General features: G+C 44.2%; 1 pseudogene, besides 4 other annotated features; it reads left to right on the forward strand.

Moving 5' to 3' along the window:
- Positions 61–355: a silencer, noted in NCBI's record as "tiled region #2638; K562 Repressive non-DNase unmatched - State 23:Low". NCBI's record gives its function as "represses a minimal TATA promoter and a strong SV40 promoter by Sharpr-MPRA in K562 cells {active_cell/tissue: K562}" and the evidence as "EXISTENCE:reporter gene assay evidence [ECO:0000049][PMID:27701403]".
- Positions 61–355: an enhancer, noted in NCBI's record as "tiled region #2638; HepG2 Activating DNase matched - State 5:Enh". NCBI's record gives its function as "activates a minimal TATA promoter and a strong SV40 promoter by Sharpr-MPRA in HepG2 cells {active_cell/tissue: HepG2}" and the evidence as "EXISTENCE:reporter gene assay evidence [ECO:0000049][PMID:27701403]".
- Positions 1,088–1,912: an enhancer, noted in NCBI's record as "OCT4-NANOG-H3K27ac-H3K4me1 hESC enhancer chr10:51541582-51542406 (GRCh37/hg19 assembly coordinates)". NCBI's record gives its function as "activates a minimal SCP1, AML or CMV promoter by ChIP-STARR-seq in primed H9 embryonic stem cells {active_cell/tissue: H9 hESC(primed)}" and the evidence as "EXISTENCE:reporter gene assay evidence [ECO:0000049][PMID:30033119]".
- On the forward strand, positions 10,909–11,440 carry RPL23AP61 (ribosomal protein L23a pseudogene 61; annotated as a pseudogene).
- Positions 14,265–14,765: an enhancer, noted in NCBI's record as "H3K4me1 hESC enhancer chr10:51528729-51529229 (GRCh37/hg19 assembly coordinates)". NCBI's record gives its function as "activates a minimal SCP1, AML or CMV promoter by ChIP-STARR-seq in primed H9 embryonic stem cells {active_cell/tissue: H9 hESC(primed)}" and the evidence as "EXISTENCE:reporter gene assay evidence [ECO:0000049][PMID:30033119]".

Raw genomic sequence — 17,560 nt, forward strand, 5'->3', positions numbered from 1 at the left:
GAGGCTGACAAGCCAGGGACCAGGAAGACTGCTGGTGAATAATCTTTCTGGTTTTCTGTAAGGAACTTGGAAAGCTTATCCAGAGAGGTGTGAAAACAGCAGAAAAAACACTGGGACAAAGAAACGGGGCAAAAGCAAACATGTTCCAGATTAGCCGCTGAGAAACCTAAGAAACAAAACCAGGTTTTGTCCCAGAGAAAAGGGAGACTTGGGCATCCCCTTGGAGGCCCGGAAGCTTCTTGTTTGTCAAGTGGATTAAAGGGTATTTGGTCAAGGATTGTGTGTTTACAGCTTAAAGCAACTATGCACAGAACCCAGGAACTACCTGCCTCTCACGCTTTCAATGGATTGTCCCAGAGACTGCTCCCTTTTGTGAAGCTGATGTTTGTCTTGTGTTGAATGTAACACAGTCACAAGGAGGCTACCGTGACAGGGAGCTTGTATTTTCTTTCTGGATGTGGTATTCAAAGTGTTGAACAACCAGTATGGCTCAACCACTGACCCTTCAGTTCAGCTGCCAGAAGTCAGTCTGGGGGACCCTACTGTGCGAGGCTCTATTCCTTCTGTTTCTGGATGATGTTGAGGTCTGGAGGGGCCAGGATCCAACATGCTGAGTGGGGGCACTCAGGAGTGTTGGGCAGCAGCCACGTACCCACCAGTATATCTGAACTGATCTATACCAGCATCACAGGCCCTTATTCTCCTCATAGAGCACATGCTAAGTAAATGCAGCCACTGAATCAGACAGAAGAACGCCAGCCAGCAACCTTCTGTCCTTACCATGAGCAGTGCCTTCCAGAACCACCCCAGGGTGGAGGGCTGAGAGGTGGGAAGGGAGCTGGAGCCTCTCATGTCCACACATGCATTACCTCAGGGATTTCCCAGCAACACAACAAAACAGGCCTTCTCTCGCCCACTTTACCAGTGGGGCATTGAGGTTTCAGGATGGAAACAACTATTCAGGGTTTTCAGATGGTGAGAAAGAGTGAGAATTTAAACCCAGGCCTGAGATGAAGCAGGGACCTGTGCCACCACCCCGAACGCCACCATCAAGCATGGAAATAAAGGAAAATCTTGAGTGCCTTCAAGGGAAATTTCAGGCATCCAGCTAGCCCTGAGAAGTAAGTAAGTAACTTGTTAGGCAGGAAGGTAATAGTAGCCCAAAACAATAGCCAAGGAAGTTAGAGTCCGGAGATGTTTAGTTTTAGGAACTAAAGATAACATCTTAACACACGTCCTTGAGTTTGTCATTCAGAAACCTGGACCTCCATGTGGACCCCCACCAAACGGATCTGCTGGCCTGCAGACCTCAGATAGAGGGAGCTGAGGACTGCACTCTGACCACCTTCTTTCATTCTAAATTTCTTCCGGAGGCTCCTGAAAGCCACACCCATGAGCTAAAGCTAATATTCTTTTCTGTTAACCCTGAATTTTCAGGCAAGGCATCGCCTCCTGAACCAACTACAAATCAAAGAATCTCTGAATCCACCTATGACCTGTAAGCCCCTGCTTCAAGATATCTCACCTTTTTTAGGCCAAACCAATGTGTACCCTTCATGTACTGATTTACAATTTTATCTAACTTCTGCTGCTTTCCTGAAAATTTACCCCGCCTTTAAAAACCCTTACCTGTGTGAAAGGAAACTATGTTGGCCCTCCCAAATCACTAAGTTAAAGAGAAAATTCAAGCTGGGAACTGCTTAGGGCAAATCTGCCTCGCATTCTATTCAAAGTCATCCCTCTGCTCACTGAGATAAATGCATATCTGATTGCCTCCTTTGGAAAGGCTAATCAGAAACTCAAAAGAATGCAACCGTTTGTCTCTCACCTATCTGTGATCTGGAAGCCCACTGCCTGCTTCAAGTTGTCCTGCCTTTCCAGACCAAACCAATGTTCATTTTACATATGTTGATTGATGGCTCATGTCTCCCTAAAAGGTATAAAACCAAGCTGTGCTCTGACCACCTTGGGCACATGTCGTCAGAACCTCCTGAGGGTGTGTCACGGGGGCATGTCCTCAACCTTGGCAAAATAAACTTTCTAAATTGACACTTGTCTCAGATTTTCAGGGTTCACATCTGCCAGCCATCAGAGAGTTCAGGTTTTGAGCATGCGCTGCCTGGTCCCCCTTGCTCAGGGCTCTGTGAATAAACACCTTCCTTTCTAGTGCTGCAACTTCAGTGTGGATATCTGGACTTAACTGCACTGGGCAAGCCGACCCCAATTTGTCAAGCACGTCCATGTGAAGAAACCACCAAACAGGCTTTGTATGAGGAATAAAACTTTTAATTCACTTGGGTGCAGGTGGGCTGAGTCCGAAAAGAGTCAGCAAAGGGAGATGGGGAAGGGATTGCTTTATAGGAGTTGGGTAGGTAATGGAAAGTTACAGTAAAACGTGGTTATCTATTGTTAGCAGAGGAGGGGGTCACAAGGTACATAGTGGGGAGATCATAAGACTCATTGTCCAGAAGAAGAATGTCACAAAGTTGGTTGATCAGCTAAGGTAGGGCAGGGACAAGTCACAATGGTAAAATGTTGTAATTTTGGTTACTCAGTTAAGGCAGGAACTGGCTGTTTTACTTTGTGGGTTTTTTGGCTGCTCCAGACTTCTTGGTTCCTGCAGGCCATCTGGACATATATGTGCAGGTCACAGGGGTTATAATAGCTGAGCTTCAGCTCAGAGGCCTGACACAATTCAGTTATATAATAGTCCTAATGACCCAAAAGCCAGTACTCTCTTTTTTTTTTTTTTTTTTTTTTTTTTGAGATGGAGTCTCGCGCTGTCGCCCGGGCTGGAGTGCAGTGGCGCTATCTCAGCTCACTGCAACCTCCGCCTCCTGGGTTCAAGTGATTCTCCTGCCTCAGCCTCCTGCGTAGCTGGGATTACAGGTACATGCCACCATGCCCAGCTAATTTCTGTATTTTTTTTTTAGTAGAGATGGGGTTTCACCATGTTGGCCAGGCTGGTCACAAACTCCTGACCTCAAATGATCTGCCACCTCGGCCTCCCAAAGTGCTGGGATTACAGGCGTGAGCCACCACGCCCAGCCAAGCCCCTGCTCTCTTTACAGCCAGGGCTGCCTCCCTCACACACCTGCCCAAAGGGCTGGCAGCATCTGCACTCAAGTGAAGAGATCTAAGCACCTTTGAGCCCCAGAGCAGCAGGTGGGGGCTACCACCAGCATGGGGCCTTTCATGCGGGAGATCCCACAGCCCTTCTCCTTCCCCTTCCTCCTCCCTTGACAATGTGTTCAGGTCTCCCACAGCCTTTGGCACCAAGAAATTCCAATAGATGTTAACCAGCCTGGTAATTTAGTACAGCGTTAGCACCAAGTCGCCAAGGTTGAGGATATGCTACCGTGACACACCCTCAGGAGGTTCTGACAACATGTGCCCAAGGTAGTCAGAGCACAGCTTGGTTTTATACCTTTTAGGGAGACATGAGCCATCACTCAACATATGTAAAATGAACACTGGTTCAGTCTGGAAAGGCAGGACAATGTGAAGCAGGCAGGGGGCTTCCAGATCACATATGTGAGAGACAAACGGTGCTATTTCCAAATATTTCCAAACTACTCTCTTTTCCAGCTACTCACCAGGAGGAAAGTAAATGCCTGTCAGACATGGTTACTAATCACCGCCGGTGGGTGGGATGAAAAGGAGCTTACTGATGACTGGCCAGGTGCTCACCCTCACCAGGTCTCAGATTCCTCTTTGGCTAATGAGGGAGTCAATTCTCTATTGGGGGTAGCAAGTTCAAATGCTCGGGGCAAGTCAGGTAACACAACCCAGTGAAGCAGGTATGATGTTTGTATATGAAGTACTTATGAGCCTCACTTTCCTAAGTAAATAGGCTTTCTCCTATTTTCCTTGAAATGCATACCACTGCCAGTCTGTTTCTCTTTATCCCAATTTTGACAGAGACATATGTATAAAAAATACATTTTTAGGCCAGGAGTAGTGGCTTATACCTATAATCCCAGAACTTTGGGAGGCCCAGGTAGGAGGATTGCTTGAGGCCAGAAATTCAAGAGCAGCCTGGACAACACAGTGAGAACTCCATCTCTACAAAATAAAAAAATTAGCCAAATTGGAGGCAAAGGCGGGTGGATGGCCTGAGGTCAGGAGTTCAAAACCAGCCTGATCAACATGGTGAAACCCCATCACTACTAAAAATACAAAATTAGGCAGGGCATGGTGGCTCATAACTGTAATCCCAGCACGTTGGGAGGCCGAGACGGGTGGATCATGAGGTCAGGAGATCGAGATCATCCTGGCTAACGTGGTGAAACCCCGTCTCTACTAAAAATACAAAAAAAGTTAGGTGTGGTCGCGGGTGCCTGTAGTCCCAGCTATTCAGGAGGCTGAAGTAGGAGAATGGCGTGAACCCGGGAGGCGGAGCTTGCAGTGAGCCAAGATCACGTTACTGCACTCCCGCCTGGGTGACAGAGCAAGACTTTGTCTCAAAAAAAAAAAAAAAAAAAAAATTAGCCAGGTCTGGTGGTGCATACCTGTAATCCCAGCTACTTGGGAGGCAGGAGCATCACCTGAACCTGGGAGGTGGAGGTTGCAATGGGCCGAGATCATGCCATTGCACTCCCGCCTGGGCAACAAGAGCAAAACTCCACCTCAAAAAGACAGGACAGGACACGACACGACACAATAAGACGAGAAGAAATATTATGTCTTTCACAAAAATCTTTCAGAAAATAAAAAAGGATAGATCATGTTCCAACTCCTTTAATGAGGCCAGTGTTACCCCAATATCAAAGCTAAACAAACACACCAAAATAAACAAAAATTATAGAACAATATCTCTCATGAATAGAGATGCAAACATACTCAATAAGATATTAGCAAACAAAAATCCATCAACATGTACAAAAGATTATACACCATGACCAAGTATGATTTATCCCAGAAATGCAAGGTTGGTGTGACATCCAAAAATCAAGTAATGCTTTCTCTAGTATATGGTGAGGTTTTTAAAATTAATTAATTAAAAACAACAAAACCTCAAAATCAGTGAATGTAATGTACTAGATTAATAGACTAAAATACATCACATTGTCATTTCAATAGATACAGAAGCATTTGACAATAGCCAACATACATTCGTGGTAAAAACTCTCAACAAACTAGGAATAAAAGTAAACTTCTTCAATCTGATAGAGGGCAACTACAGACAACCTACAGTTAATGTACTTAATGATGAAAGACAGAATGTTTCCCACTCAAGATTAGGAAACAGGCAAGAATGTCTACTCTTACCACTTCCATTCAACATTGTACTACTGGTCATAGCCAGGGCAACTTAAAAAGGGGGTAGAGGGAGAAAGAGAGAGAAAGGTAAATTAAAGACATCTAGAATGAAAAGAAAAAAGTAAAACTGTGTTTATTTGTAGACCACATGATCTGTATGCAGAAAATCCCAAGTAATCTATCAAAAAATTTTACTGGAATTAATAAATGAGTTTAGCAAACAAGGTTCAAGTATATAAGGCCGATATGTAAAAATCAATTGTATTTCTACATACTAGTAATAAACAATGTGAAAATGAAATTAAGGAAACAAAATTTCATTCACAGTAACACCTAAAAGAATAAAATACTTAGAAATGAGTTTAATGAAAGAAATGCAAGACTTACAATAAAAACTATAAAACTTTGCTCAGAGAAATTGAAGAAGTTCTAAATTAGAGGCAGCAAACTACAGTCCATGGCCCTGAACTGGCCCCCTGTTTGTTTTGTAAATAAAGTTTTATTGAAACACAATTTTTTTTTTTTTGAGATGGAGTTTTGCTCTTGTTGCCCAAGCTGGAGTGCAATGGTGTGATCTCAGCTCACTGCAACATCCACCTCCCAGGTTCAAGCGATTCTCCTGTCTCAGCCTCCCGAATAGTTGGAATTACAGGCGTGCGCCACTATGCCTGGCTATTTTTTTTGTATTTTTAGTAGTAACGGGGTTTCTCCATGTTAGCCAGCTGGTCTTGAACTCCTGACCTTAGGTAGTCCACCCGCCTCAGCCTCCCAAAGTGCTGGGATTACAAGCATGAGCCACCGCGCCGGGCCAACACTGCTTTTACACTACAAAGCAAAGTTGAATATAGCCCACAATACCACAAATATTTTTACTATCTGGTTCTTTGCAGAAAATTTGCTAATCCCTGATTTAAATAATCCCATGTTCATAGATTAAAAGACTCTATTGTTAAGATGACAGTCCTCCCCCAATTTATTGATAAATTTCTGCCAATTTAAAAAAAATTAATGTCGTTCCTAAGAAAGTGAGTCCATTCCAAATACTGCGAAATCAAGGGAAAAAATTAAAAAGTCAGTCCTGGCTGGGTGCAGTGGCTCACGCCTGTAATCCCAGCACTTGGGAGGCCGAGGCAGGTGGATCACCTGAGTTCAGGTGTTCAAGACCAGCCTGGCCAACATGGTGAAACAGTGACTCTACTAAAAATACAAAAATTATCTGGGCATGGTGGCATCTGCCTGTAATCCCAGCTACTAGGGAGGCTGAGGCAGGAGAATCGCTTGAACTTGGGAGGCGGAGGTTGCAGTGAGCCAAGATTGTGCCACCACACTCCAGCCTGGATGACAGAGTGAGACTTGGTCTCAAAAACAAAAACAAAAAAAATAGTCCAGCAGGTTTTTGTGGAAATTGATAAGCTTTTGCTAAAATTTATATAGAAAAGCGAATGACCTAGGATAGCCTAAATATTCTGAAAAAGAACAAAGCTAAAAAAAAAACTTACACTATCCAATTTCAACACTTGCTATTGTTAAAGAAAAATTTTGCACCAGACACTTGTCAAAAATGTCAAGACAGATTTTATTCAGACTACTGTGGCAGGGAAGAGACACTTCAGCATTAACTGAGCTCAATTCTACCAAACCAGAAGGCAAGAGGCTTTTTAAATGCTAGGATGTGTTAAGGGAAAAGTACTGAAGGATGCTAGTTGAGGGGAGGGAGGTTTGGTCAATGAGTACACTGACCAGATTGTGAACTTGTGCTTATCAAATTGTGAACTGGTGCTTATCAATATCAGGGTCCTACCCTACCACCAAGATTGGGAGACAGAGGCTCTGTCCTACCTAATGATTACATTTCGAAAGGATGGCTCCCAGGTCCTTGGGAAAGACATTCCTGTGTTATAGAAGATACATTTCCAAGAGACAGAGAAAGGATTTCTAACTGCCAGTTTTCTAAAGTAAATCCTTTAGGAAAAGGGGGTTCGGGGGCCTATATTCAGGTTTTGCCTGGAACAAATCATAAATTCTTTGGGCAGCATTGAATTTTATTAGGCAGAAACTTAAGGGGGCTGAAGTCATCATCCTAAGGATGTGGCCATGAACTGTTAGAAACAACAGTGTTTGTTGAAGTCTCTTAGTGCCAGAGGTGGATGAAATCATTTGTGCTGAGAGTCTGCAGTTTGCTTTTTTATTTATATTTTATTTTTTATTATTTATCTTTTTTTTTTTTTTTTTGAGACAGGGTTTTACTCTTGTTGCCCAGGCTGGACCCAGGCTGGAGTGCAGTGGCGCCATCTCGGCTCACTGCAAGCTCTGCCTCCCGGGTTCACGCCATTCTCCTGCCTCAGCCTCCTGAGTAGCTGGGACTACAGGCGCCTGCCACCACGCCCGGCTAATTTTTTTTGTATTTTTAGTAGAGACGGGGTTTCACCACGTTAATCAGGATGGTCTCGATCTCCTGACCTCATGATCCACCCACCTCGGCCTCCCAAAGTGCTGGGATTACAGGCATGAGCCACTGCGCCCGGCCCATTTTTTTTTTTTTTTTAAGTATAACATATCTCTATTAAGTTGAATAGAAACACTAACAAAGACTAGTATGCATAGTGATTATAGATGTAGACAGATAAAAAAGAAAAAGGGATACAAGGGCGCATTGAATTTATGACAATATTGTCTCAGTACCACAGCAGGAGCCAACTCACCCCAGGGCTGGCTTCCCAAGACCAGCTCCGGGAAGCCTGATCTGCTCAGCCTTGATTACTGGTTGACCGGGACTGGGGATCCAGCTGGCAGGACAGGCTGTAGCTCTCACCCTCACTGGGCTGCTCTCTGACCCAGAACCAGGCCCCCAGTTCCTCCCCAGGATGAAGGCTGTAATGATTTGCAGCCACCTGAGCAGCTGGGTCTCCTTTTCTGGGAGTCCATCATATTCTCATCCACATTACCATTCATCGCAGTGTCCAGCATCACCAGGTCGGTGAGGAATGTGCCAAGGACAGGGACAATTCCCTTCTTCTGCTGCTGCCACCTTGCATGGGCTCTGTGGGGGCTTGCCTCCAGGGTGGCCGACTTGGAGGTCCCCACACTGATGAGCAGATCCCTGTTCGGTGGCTTGTCTTTGCTGCACAGCTTTGGACATTTTTCTGTTGCTTTATCTTGGCCACTCAGAGCAGAGCAGCCACAACCCCCCACCCCACAGTGCCTGGGCCAAAGTGGCCCAGGTTAGGGTCCTTGAAAGACGAGACACCAGAGAGTTCCCTCTCCTTCTCTTTCCCTCTGTCCCCCACACCCTCTTTCCAGGAGCACAAAGAGGTCATGTGAGCACGCAGTGGGAGGGTGGCCACATGTGAGCCAAGAGAGGGGCCTCAGAATGAAGCCTGCCTTTCCTGCACCTTGATCGTGGACTTCCAGCCCCCAGAACTGTGAGAAATGAATTTCTGTTACTTAAGCCTCCCAGTCTGTGGTATTTTGTTATGGCAGCCTGAGCCAACTAATACAACAGGAAAGAAACATTCCAATCTCCGTAAATTCATTTTTAAGTTCATTAATGTTTAAAGTGATTAACAGTGGGTACACTTTGTAAACCATCAAGATCTCATACAGTCATATTTTATGATTCCCCATAATTAGTTGGTCATGGTTTGTAACTCCTGACAAACATTGTTTTTAGTTTTAGAGAGTTTTTATCCTTTTACATTGAATAAAAGAAAAATACAACAGAGGGAAAGTTGTCGCTTAATAGACCAGAGTCAGGTTCCGTCTAATTTGCCCCTTGCCTCGGATTGATTAGTTAGTCTCATTTTTGCCTTGCCTCGGGTTGATTAGTTAGTACATGAACTTTCTGCTCAGTTTCCTGGGCTTAGATATTCTGTATCCTCAACACAGAGAGGTGATTCACAATATTTGGCTTGAACAAAAATACTTTTAGGTCCAAGAGATTTGTTTTATACTGTATTCTTTCATTAAACTTTTCTTTTTATCTTTCCTTATGTATGTATTCATTTTATTAAAAAATTGAGATGAGGTGTCACTTGTTGCCCAGGCTGGTCTTGAACTTCTGGGCTAAAGTGATCCTCCTGCCTCAGCCTCCCAAAGTGCTGTATTATAGGCATGAGCTACCACACCCTGCCCATTAAACCTTTCTTAAAGAGTTTTATTTTCAAAGACAGGGCATTGATTGATTGATTGAGAGATGGGGTCTTTCTATGTTGCCCAGGCTGGTCTTGAACTCCTGGGCTGAAGCAATCCTCCTGCCTTGGCCTTCCAATGTTGAGATTACAGGCATGATCCACCATGCCCAGCTGGACAGGGCATTTTAAAATGCAAATGTGTACTGACCTCATTAGTAGGAGGATGCATTCTGGCACCCCGTTCTTCACCTGTCCCCCAATCCTTAAAAGGCCATACTGCATAAAGTCAACAACAGATAAATGTTTGCTGAATTAAAGGATGGATGAAAAAAATTAATAATGAATTTTTGCATAATCCAATTTTCTCTTTTATATTTCTAGAAGAAGTTTCTTTGAGCCTATTAGATCCCGGGAATCTTTTAGGTGAGCATGATTAGAGAGCTTGTAGGTTGCTTTTACATATATCTGGCATATTTGAGTCTCGTATCAAAACAATAGATTGGTAAAGGTGGTATTATTGTATTGATAAGTAAATAGTCTTGGAGGGAAAATGCAATTGATCTAAGTTTAGATATCCTCAATGGTCAGCATTCAGAAGTTTAAAGAGCATAGGCTAAGTTCATCAGACATAACTGGGCTCAAATCTTGGCTCTGCCACATACGACCTTTGACAGGTAACAACCTTTTTGCACCTGTTTCCTCATTTGTAAACTGGGTACATTTGTGGCTAGTCCTCAGGCTTGTTGAAATTAAAACAATACAGGTAAAACTCCAACTCACTGCACGCTATACATATCACATTTCTTTCTTTTCGTTCCGACTGTAAGTCCAATGTCTTTCCCAGAGTATCAAAGGGCCTGTCTAAGGGATGCATCTGACAGGTTGCACCAAACAAACTTGTGTATGTCAACAGCTGGGAAACTTTGACTTTCACAAGAATGTCACAGCAAATGGACACACACACACAAACAAGGATGTGCATCTTTGTGTAGGCAAGTGTACTCAAGAAGGCAGGCAGGGGAAGCAATATTCTGTTTCTCAAGTTTTAAGCAACCTAAGGCAGAGTTTCCAGTACAGGAAGAGAACTTGGGAGATGAATTCAAGTCTGTGAAGCCTTCGGCTAGCTTACATAACAATGAGTTAAACATGTACAGTGCTTTACAGCTTCCTCTCCATTGCCTTTTTGTTTTTGTTCTGTAGGGTGATTACACCCACTGTGCAGATGGGCATGCTGAATGACCTTTAAGGTGCTAGTTAATTACGAACTCAACTCTAGTTCTCCTTTTTTCAAAATCAGATTTCCTCTCAAATCCCATCCTGCTTCTCCATTCTATTAAAGTGCCTGGAGATCTCCTTCCCTCACACTGTTTAAAATCATGCCTCAGATCTCACCACAGGGAAATGAAGACTTCACAATCCCTAAGATCCAGCCAACACTCCTGAAATCTGGGGTAGATACCAAGAAACGATCCACAAAATTCGGGAGAAGTGAAAATGGTATTAGAAAGGAAACTTTCCCTTTTCACAAGATGGCGCCGAAAGTGAAGAAGGAAGCTCCTGCCCCTCCTAAAGCCGAAACCAAAGCGAAGGATTTAAAGGCCAAGAAGACAGTGTTGAAAGGTGTCCACAGCCACACAAAAAAAGAAGATCCGTACGTCACCCACCTTCCGGCGGCCCAAGACGCTGCAACTCCCGAGGCAGCCCAAATATCTTTGGAAGAGCGCTCCCAGGAGATACAAGCTTGACCACTACGCTATCATCAAGTTTCCGCTGACCACTGAGTCACCACGAAGAAGATAGAAGACAACAACACACTTGTGTTCATTGTGGATGTTAAAGCCAACAAGCACCAGATCAAACAGGCTGTGAAGAAGTTCTAAGACATTGATGTGGCCAAGGTCAACACCGTGATTTGGCCTGATGGAGAGAAGAAGGAATATGTTTCACTGGCTCCTGATTACGATGCTCTGGATGTTGCCAACAAAATTGGAATAATCTAAACTGAGCCCAGCTGGCTAATTCTAAATATGTGTATATCTTTTCACCATTAAAAAAAAAAAAGGAAACTTTCTCGGCCAGGTGCGGTGGCTCATACCTGTAATCCCAGCACTTTGGGAGGCTGAGGTGGGTGGATCACCTGAGGTCAGGAGTTCAAGACCAGCCTGACCAACATAGTGAAACCCCGTCTCTACTAAATACAAAAAATTAGCCAGGTGTGGTGGTGGGCACCAGTAATCCCAGCTACTTGGGAGGCTGAGGCAAGAGAATCGCTTGAAACTAGGAGGCAGACGTTGCATTGAGCCAAGATTGTACCACTGCACTCCAGCCTGGGTGATAGAGCGAGACTCCGACTCAAAAAAAAAAAAAAAAGGAAACTTTCTCTGCCAGAAAAAGCTCCTGCTTGTTGTATTTGTTGTGCCATAAACATGCCTTGGGTGAAGACGCAGCCTCTGTTTCTCCGGGGTTAATCCCACACAGTTCCCTCAGCACAGCCACCCTTTTCTTCAATGCTCGCAAAGTTCCATTCCTTCCTTGCCTGAGCACACAGCCCATCATAGGATCTAGCCCTCTTTTGCCTTCTCCAGTCATCTTTACCTTCCCACCTGCCACACTACCAGAAAAATAAAATAAAGTAAAATGTCAATAAAGACATTTCTTTATCTGGCTTGTCTTAAAGTCAAAAGGAGGAGGGACTAAGGCAGGATCAATATTTAGTTTGTCCTACAGTCAAAAGGAAGAGGAATTAAGGCAGATAAATATTTAATTTGTTCAACATTAAAAGGAGGAGTGATTAAGGTAGATAAATAAGGATAATATTTCAGGCAGATAAACATGAAATCCTGTGTTTATTTCCCCCAGACTAACTGCACAATAATGGGCTGGTGTCCACAGGATTAGTCAACAAGGTTTGCCCTGTCCTTCCACCCTACTCTCCCACTTGGTGCCCCTGGGCTCAGGGAGAGTGTTTTCTGAAGAGATTCCCAAAGGAATGCCCTAGGCTGGGCACTGTGACTCATGCCTGTAATCCTACCACTTTGGGAGGCCGAGGCAGGAGGATTGCTTGAACTCAGGAGTTGGAGACCAGCCTGGGCAATATGGCGAAACCCTATCTCTATAAAAAATACAAAAATTAGCCGGGGGTGGTGGCACATACCTTTAGTCCCAGATACTCAGGAGGCTGAGGTGGGAACATCACTTGAGCCTGGGAGGTTGAGGCTCCAATGGAGCCATGACTGCATCACTGCACTCTGGCCTGGGCAATAGAGTGAAACCCTGTCTCAAAAATAAGTAAAATAAAATATTTTTAAATGCAGAATTTAATCTAATCACAAGGAAACTGCAGACAAACCTATTTTACAAAGTAACTGGCCTAAACTCTTCAAAAATATCAAGGCCACTGAAGAGAGAGAAAGGTTGAGGAGCTGTTTCACATGAAAGGTAATTAAAGAAATCTGATGAGTAAATGTAATCTGTGATCCTGGACTTGAACATAGAATATTGGGACAACTGGTGAAGTTTGAATATGGACTATGGATTACATAATATTATTTTATCAACATTGAGTTTTCTGATTTTTGATAAATGTTCTGAGATCACATTAAAAAAAGTCCTTGTTCTCAGGAACTCCACATTGAAGTGTTCATAGATAAAGGGACATGATGAATGCAAATTACTTTCAAATTGTTTTAAAAAAAAGTGTATAAGTGTATATGCGTGGGGGTGAGGGGAGAGAGAGAGACAGATGCTGGGCACAGTGGCTCAAGCCTGTAATTTCAGCACTTTGGGAGGCCAGGCAGGCAGATTGCCTAAGCTCAGGAATTCAAGACCAGCCTGGGCAACAGGGCAAAACCCCATCTCTACAAAAAATACAAAAATTAGCCAGGTATGGTGGCGCATACCTATAGTCCCAACTACTTGCGGGGCTGAGGTGGGAGGATCTCTTGAGCCCAGGATATCAAGGCTGCAGTGAGCAGAGGTTGCACCACTGCACTTCAGCCTTAGAAAGAAAAAAAAAAGAGAGAGAGAGGTCAGACATGGTGGCTCAGGCCTGTAATCCCAGCACTTTGGAAGGCCGAAGTGGGCGGATCACAAGGTCAGGAGATCAAGACCATCCTGGCTAACACGGTGAAACCCCATCTCTACTAAAAGAAATACAAAAAATTTGCCGGGCGTGGTGGCGGGCTCCTGTAGTCCCAGCTACTCAGGAGAATGGTGTGAACTCGGGAGCCAAGATCACGCCACTGCACTCCAGCCTGGGCGACAGAGCAAGACTCCGTCTCAAAAAAAAAAAAAAAAGAGAGAGAAAGAGAGTGAGAGAGAGAGGAAATAATAGCTGAAATGGAGCAAAGTGTTAACGCTGGAAAATCTGGGTGAAGGGTATATAGTTTTTTGTTTTAACTATTCTGTAACTTTTCTGTACATGTGAAACTAGGTCAAAATTAAAAGTTTTTTAAGGGTCCTCTACTGGCCAAGAAGCACATAAAAAGATGTTCAATGGCCAGATGCAGTGGCTCACACCTGTAATCCCAGGACTTTGGGAGGCTGAGGCGGGCGGATGTCTTGAGGTCACGAGTTCGAGACCAGCCTGGTTAACATGATGAAACCCTGTCTCTACTAAAAAATACAAAAATTAGCTGGGCATAGTGGCAGGCACCTGTAATCCCAGCTACTCGGGAGGCTGAGGCAAGATAATTGTTTGAACCTGAGAGGCAGAGGTTGCAGTGAACTGAGATTGCACCTCTGCACTCCAGCCTGGGCAGCAAGAGTGAAACTCTGTCTCAAAAAAAAAAAAAAAAAAAAAAAAAAAGATGTTCAATATCATCAGGCATTCAGGAAAGTAGGGAAGTGCAAATCAAAATCACAATGAGCTACCACTTCACACTCACTGAGAAGACTACAGTCAAAAAGATAATAGCCAGCCGGCTGCGGTGGCTCTTGTCTGTAATCCCAGCACGTTGGGAGGCTGAGGCGGGCAGATTACCTGAGGTCAGGAGTTCGAGACCAGCCTGGCCAACATGATGAAACCCCGCCTCTACTAAAAATACAAAACTTAGCCTGGCGTGGTGGCACACACCTATAATCCCAGATACTTGGGAGGCTGAGGCAGGAGAATTACTTGAGCCCAGGAAGTGGAGGTTGCAGTGAGCCAAGATCGTGCCTCCGTACTCCAGCCTGGCCAATGAAGCAAGACTCTGTCTCAAAAAAAAAAAAAAAAAGATAGCCTATGTTGATGTGAAGGTGTAGATATTAGAACTGTATGGCAGTTCTTTAAAAGGTTAAACGTGGCCTGGCGCGGTGGCTCACGCCTGTAATCCCAGCACTTTGGGAGGCCTAGGCTGGCGGATCACGGGGTCAGGAGATCGAGACCATGGTGAAACCCCGTCTCTACTAAAAATACAAAAAATTAGCCAGGCTTGGTGGCAGGCGCCTGTAGTCCCAGCTACTTGAGAGGCTGAGGCAGAAGAATGGCGTGAACCCGGAAGGCGGAGCTTGCAGTGAGCTGAGATCACGCCACTGCACTACAGCCTGGGCGACAGAGCAAGACTCCGTCTCAAAAAAAAAAAAGGTTAAATGTGCAGTTACATTTAACCCAGTAATTCTATTCCTAGGCATACACCCAAGAGAATTAAAAACAGATACAAAAACACATACTTGTACACAATTATTCATCGCAGCATTATTCACAATAGCCAAAAGGTGGAAACCATCCACATGTCCGTGAATGAACAGGAAAATGTGATCTAACTATACAATAGAATATTATTCAGTAATAAAAAGCAAAGAAGTACTGATACATGCTATCACATGGGTAAACTTTGAAACTTTGAAACTTTGAAAACATGATGCTAAGTGAAAGAAGGAAGCACAAAAGACCACACATCATAGGATTCCATTTATATGAAATGTCCAGAATAGGCCAAAATATAAAGACAGAAAGTAGATTAGTGGTTGCCTAGGGCTGGGGAGGATGGAGAATAGCAGGGTTATATTTAAAGGATATAGAGTGTCCTTTTGGGAGAGATTAAATATTCTAAAATTGATTGTGGCAATAGTTGAACAATTGTGAATATATTAAAAATCACCGAGGTGCAAGGTTAATTGTATGGTATGTGAATTCTATCTCAACAAAGCTATTACTCAAAAAGTGTTGTTTTTAAAATTTTTTTCCTCTTGAACTCCCATAATTCCACCAAAAAGTGTTCTTGTTTGTTCTCCAAAGCGTTCCAGTTTGTATAATAAATTGTATGATCACTCTACTTAAGTTTTATATAGGACTCAAAAGCAAGCCTGATTTGATAATGGAGTTTTGCTCTTGCAATAGAAAAAGGATATGAAGGAGGGGAATTTTCTTTCAGAGAAGAAGTGGAAAGCCTGGCTCTTTTGGCCTGGAGGAGTCAAGAAAGGAGAAAACAGCAGCATTAACAATAACAAAGTATCAATAAAAAGAATAACAATAGCAAACTTCTATTGGGTGCTTACTCTGTGCCAGCATAGTGCTAACTGCTTACATAAATAATCTCCTTTGATCCTTACAGTATCCCTATGAGGGATTCAGACCTTGCATCCTTTCCCATTGTCCATGCTCCTCGGGGAAGCAGTGGTCAAACAGTGGTTCCTAATCTCCCCTTTCTATTCCAAAGTCCCAAAGGGGGAAGTGGGTGGAGGACATGAGGTGATTACTCACAAGGTGCCCCCAATTTCCTTCTCCCCAGTAACCTCCTCCTGAAGAGGCTGGAAAACCAAATACTCTCTTTCTCAGCCTTCCTTGAGAATAGAATGTGACTTAGTTTTGACTGATTAGACGTAAATTTCCTCTAGAGCTTCTGGGGAAGACATTTTGTTTCAAATGAAAGGGACCAGCACAAAAGAAACGCTGCCTGCGCTCGTTGGTCTCACCTATACATTCCTTAAACACAAACGTGATGGGTGGAGCTGAGGCAGCCATTTTATGATGATTAGCTGAAAAGGATAAGAAAAATAGGCCAAGTATAACAGAGGGACAACACAGAGAGGCTCTTAATGACCTCACGGAGTTGCCAAACCATTGATACCACCTGCTCCAGGACCTTATGAAAACCCTTATGGTTTATGTCACTGTTAGTTAGAGTTTCTGTTACTTGCAGCCAAAAACATTCCTAGTCAAAACAACATGTTAGATTAAAGGAAAGCCAACAACAAAGGGGCTCTGTCCATCTGAAGTCCTGGCAGGGTTTTCTGCTGGGGGCCTGCAGCAAGCTGGAGATGAAAGCACAGCAATGGCAGAGAGCAGTGGCCGACACCAGAGCCCATGTGTGATGTGCTGGTGATGTTGAGGTTCCAAGTCCCCTGAGAGGCAGGGAGCACAGAATGTAGCTAACTCTGGCTGGAGCACTTGGCAAAGCAGGCCTTCCTGGAGGGGTGAAGTGGACCTCGCTGAACAGGAATAACAACCAGAACTCTAGGCAGCAGCATCACAAGACCACAGTGGGGCCAATTCACAGGGAAGACTACCAGCCTGAATGAGTCAAGACCAGACCACTAATTCACACCAAATACACCAAGATAAGGGGCCCAGGAACCCCAGCAAACTTGGCTCTCTGTAAGACCATCAAAGGCACTAGGGATCCCTGGCTTGTACTATTGGAATTGGACAAAGGAAGGAAGAGGCAAAGACAGAGGAACAATTGTGGATTTCTCTGGAAGAGATTGAGTCCTCCTGAAGAGGCTGTTTAAATTGGAAAAAAATGAGATTGGCAAGTGTAAAGTCCACTTTTGGCCGGGCGCAGTGGCTCACACCTGTAATCCCAACACTTTGGGAGGCCAAGGCAGGCGGATCACGAGGTCAGGAGATCGAGACCATCCTGGCTAACACAATGAAACCCCATCTCTGCTAAAAATACAAAAAATTAGCTGGGCGTGGTGGCGGGCACCTGTAGTCCCAGCTACTTGGGAGGCTGAGGCAGGAGAATGGCGTGAACCCGGGAGGCAGAGCTTGCAGTGAGCTGAGATTGGGCCACTGTAGTCCAGTTTGAGCGACAGAGCGAGACTCCATCTCAAAAAAAAAAAAAAAGAGTGAAGTCCACTTTCACCTTATACTTGCCCTGCTCCCCCTCTGGATGGAGGCTCATAAGATTAAATCCACCATAGAGGAATAAAGAAGTGTTCTGCTGGGTGCAGAAGAGCATGTG

The sequence above is a fragment of the Homo sapiens genome, chromosome 10 (assembly GCF_000001405.40).
Source record: "Homo sapiens chromosome 10, GRCh38.p14 Primary Assembly".
Taxonomy (NCBI): Eukaryota; Metazoa; Chordata; class Mammalia; order Primates; family Hominidae; genus Homo; species Homo sapiens.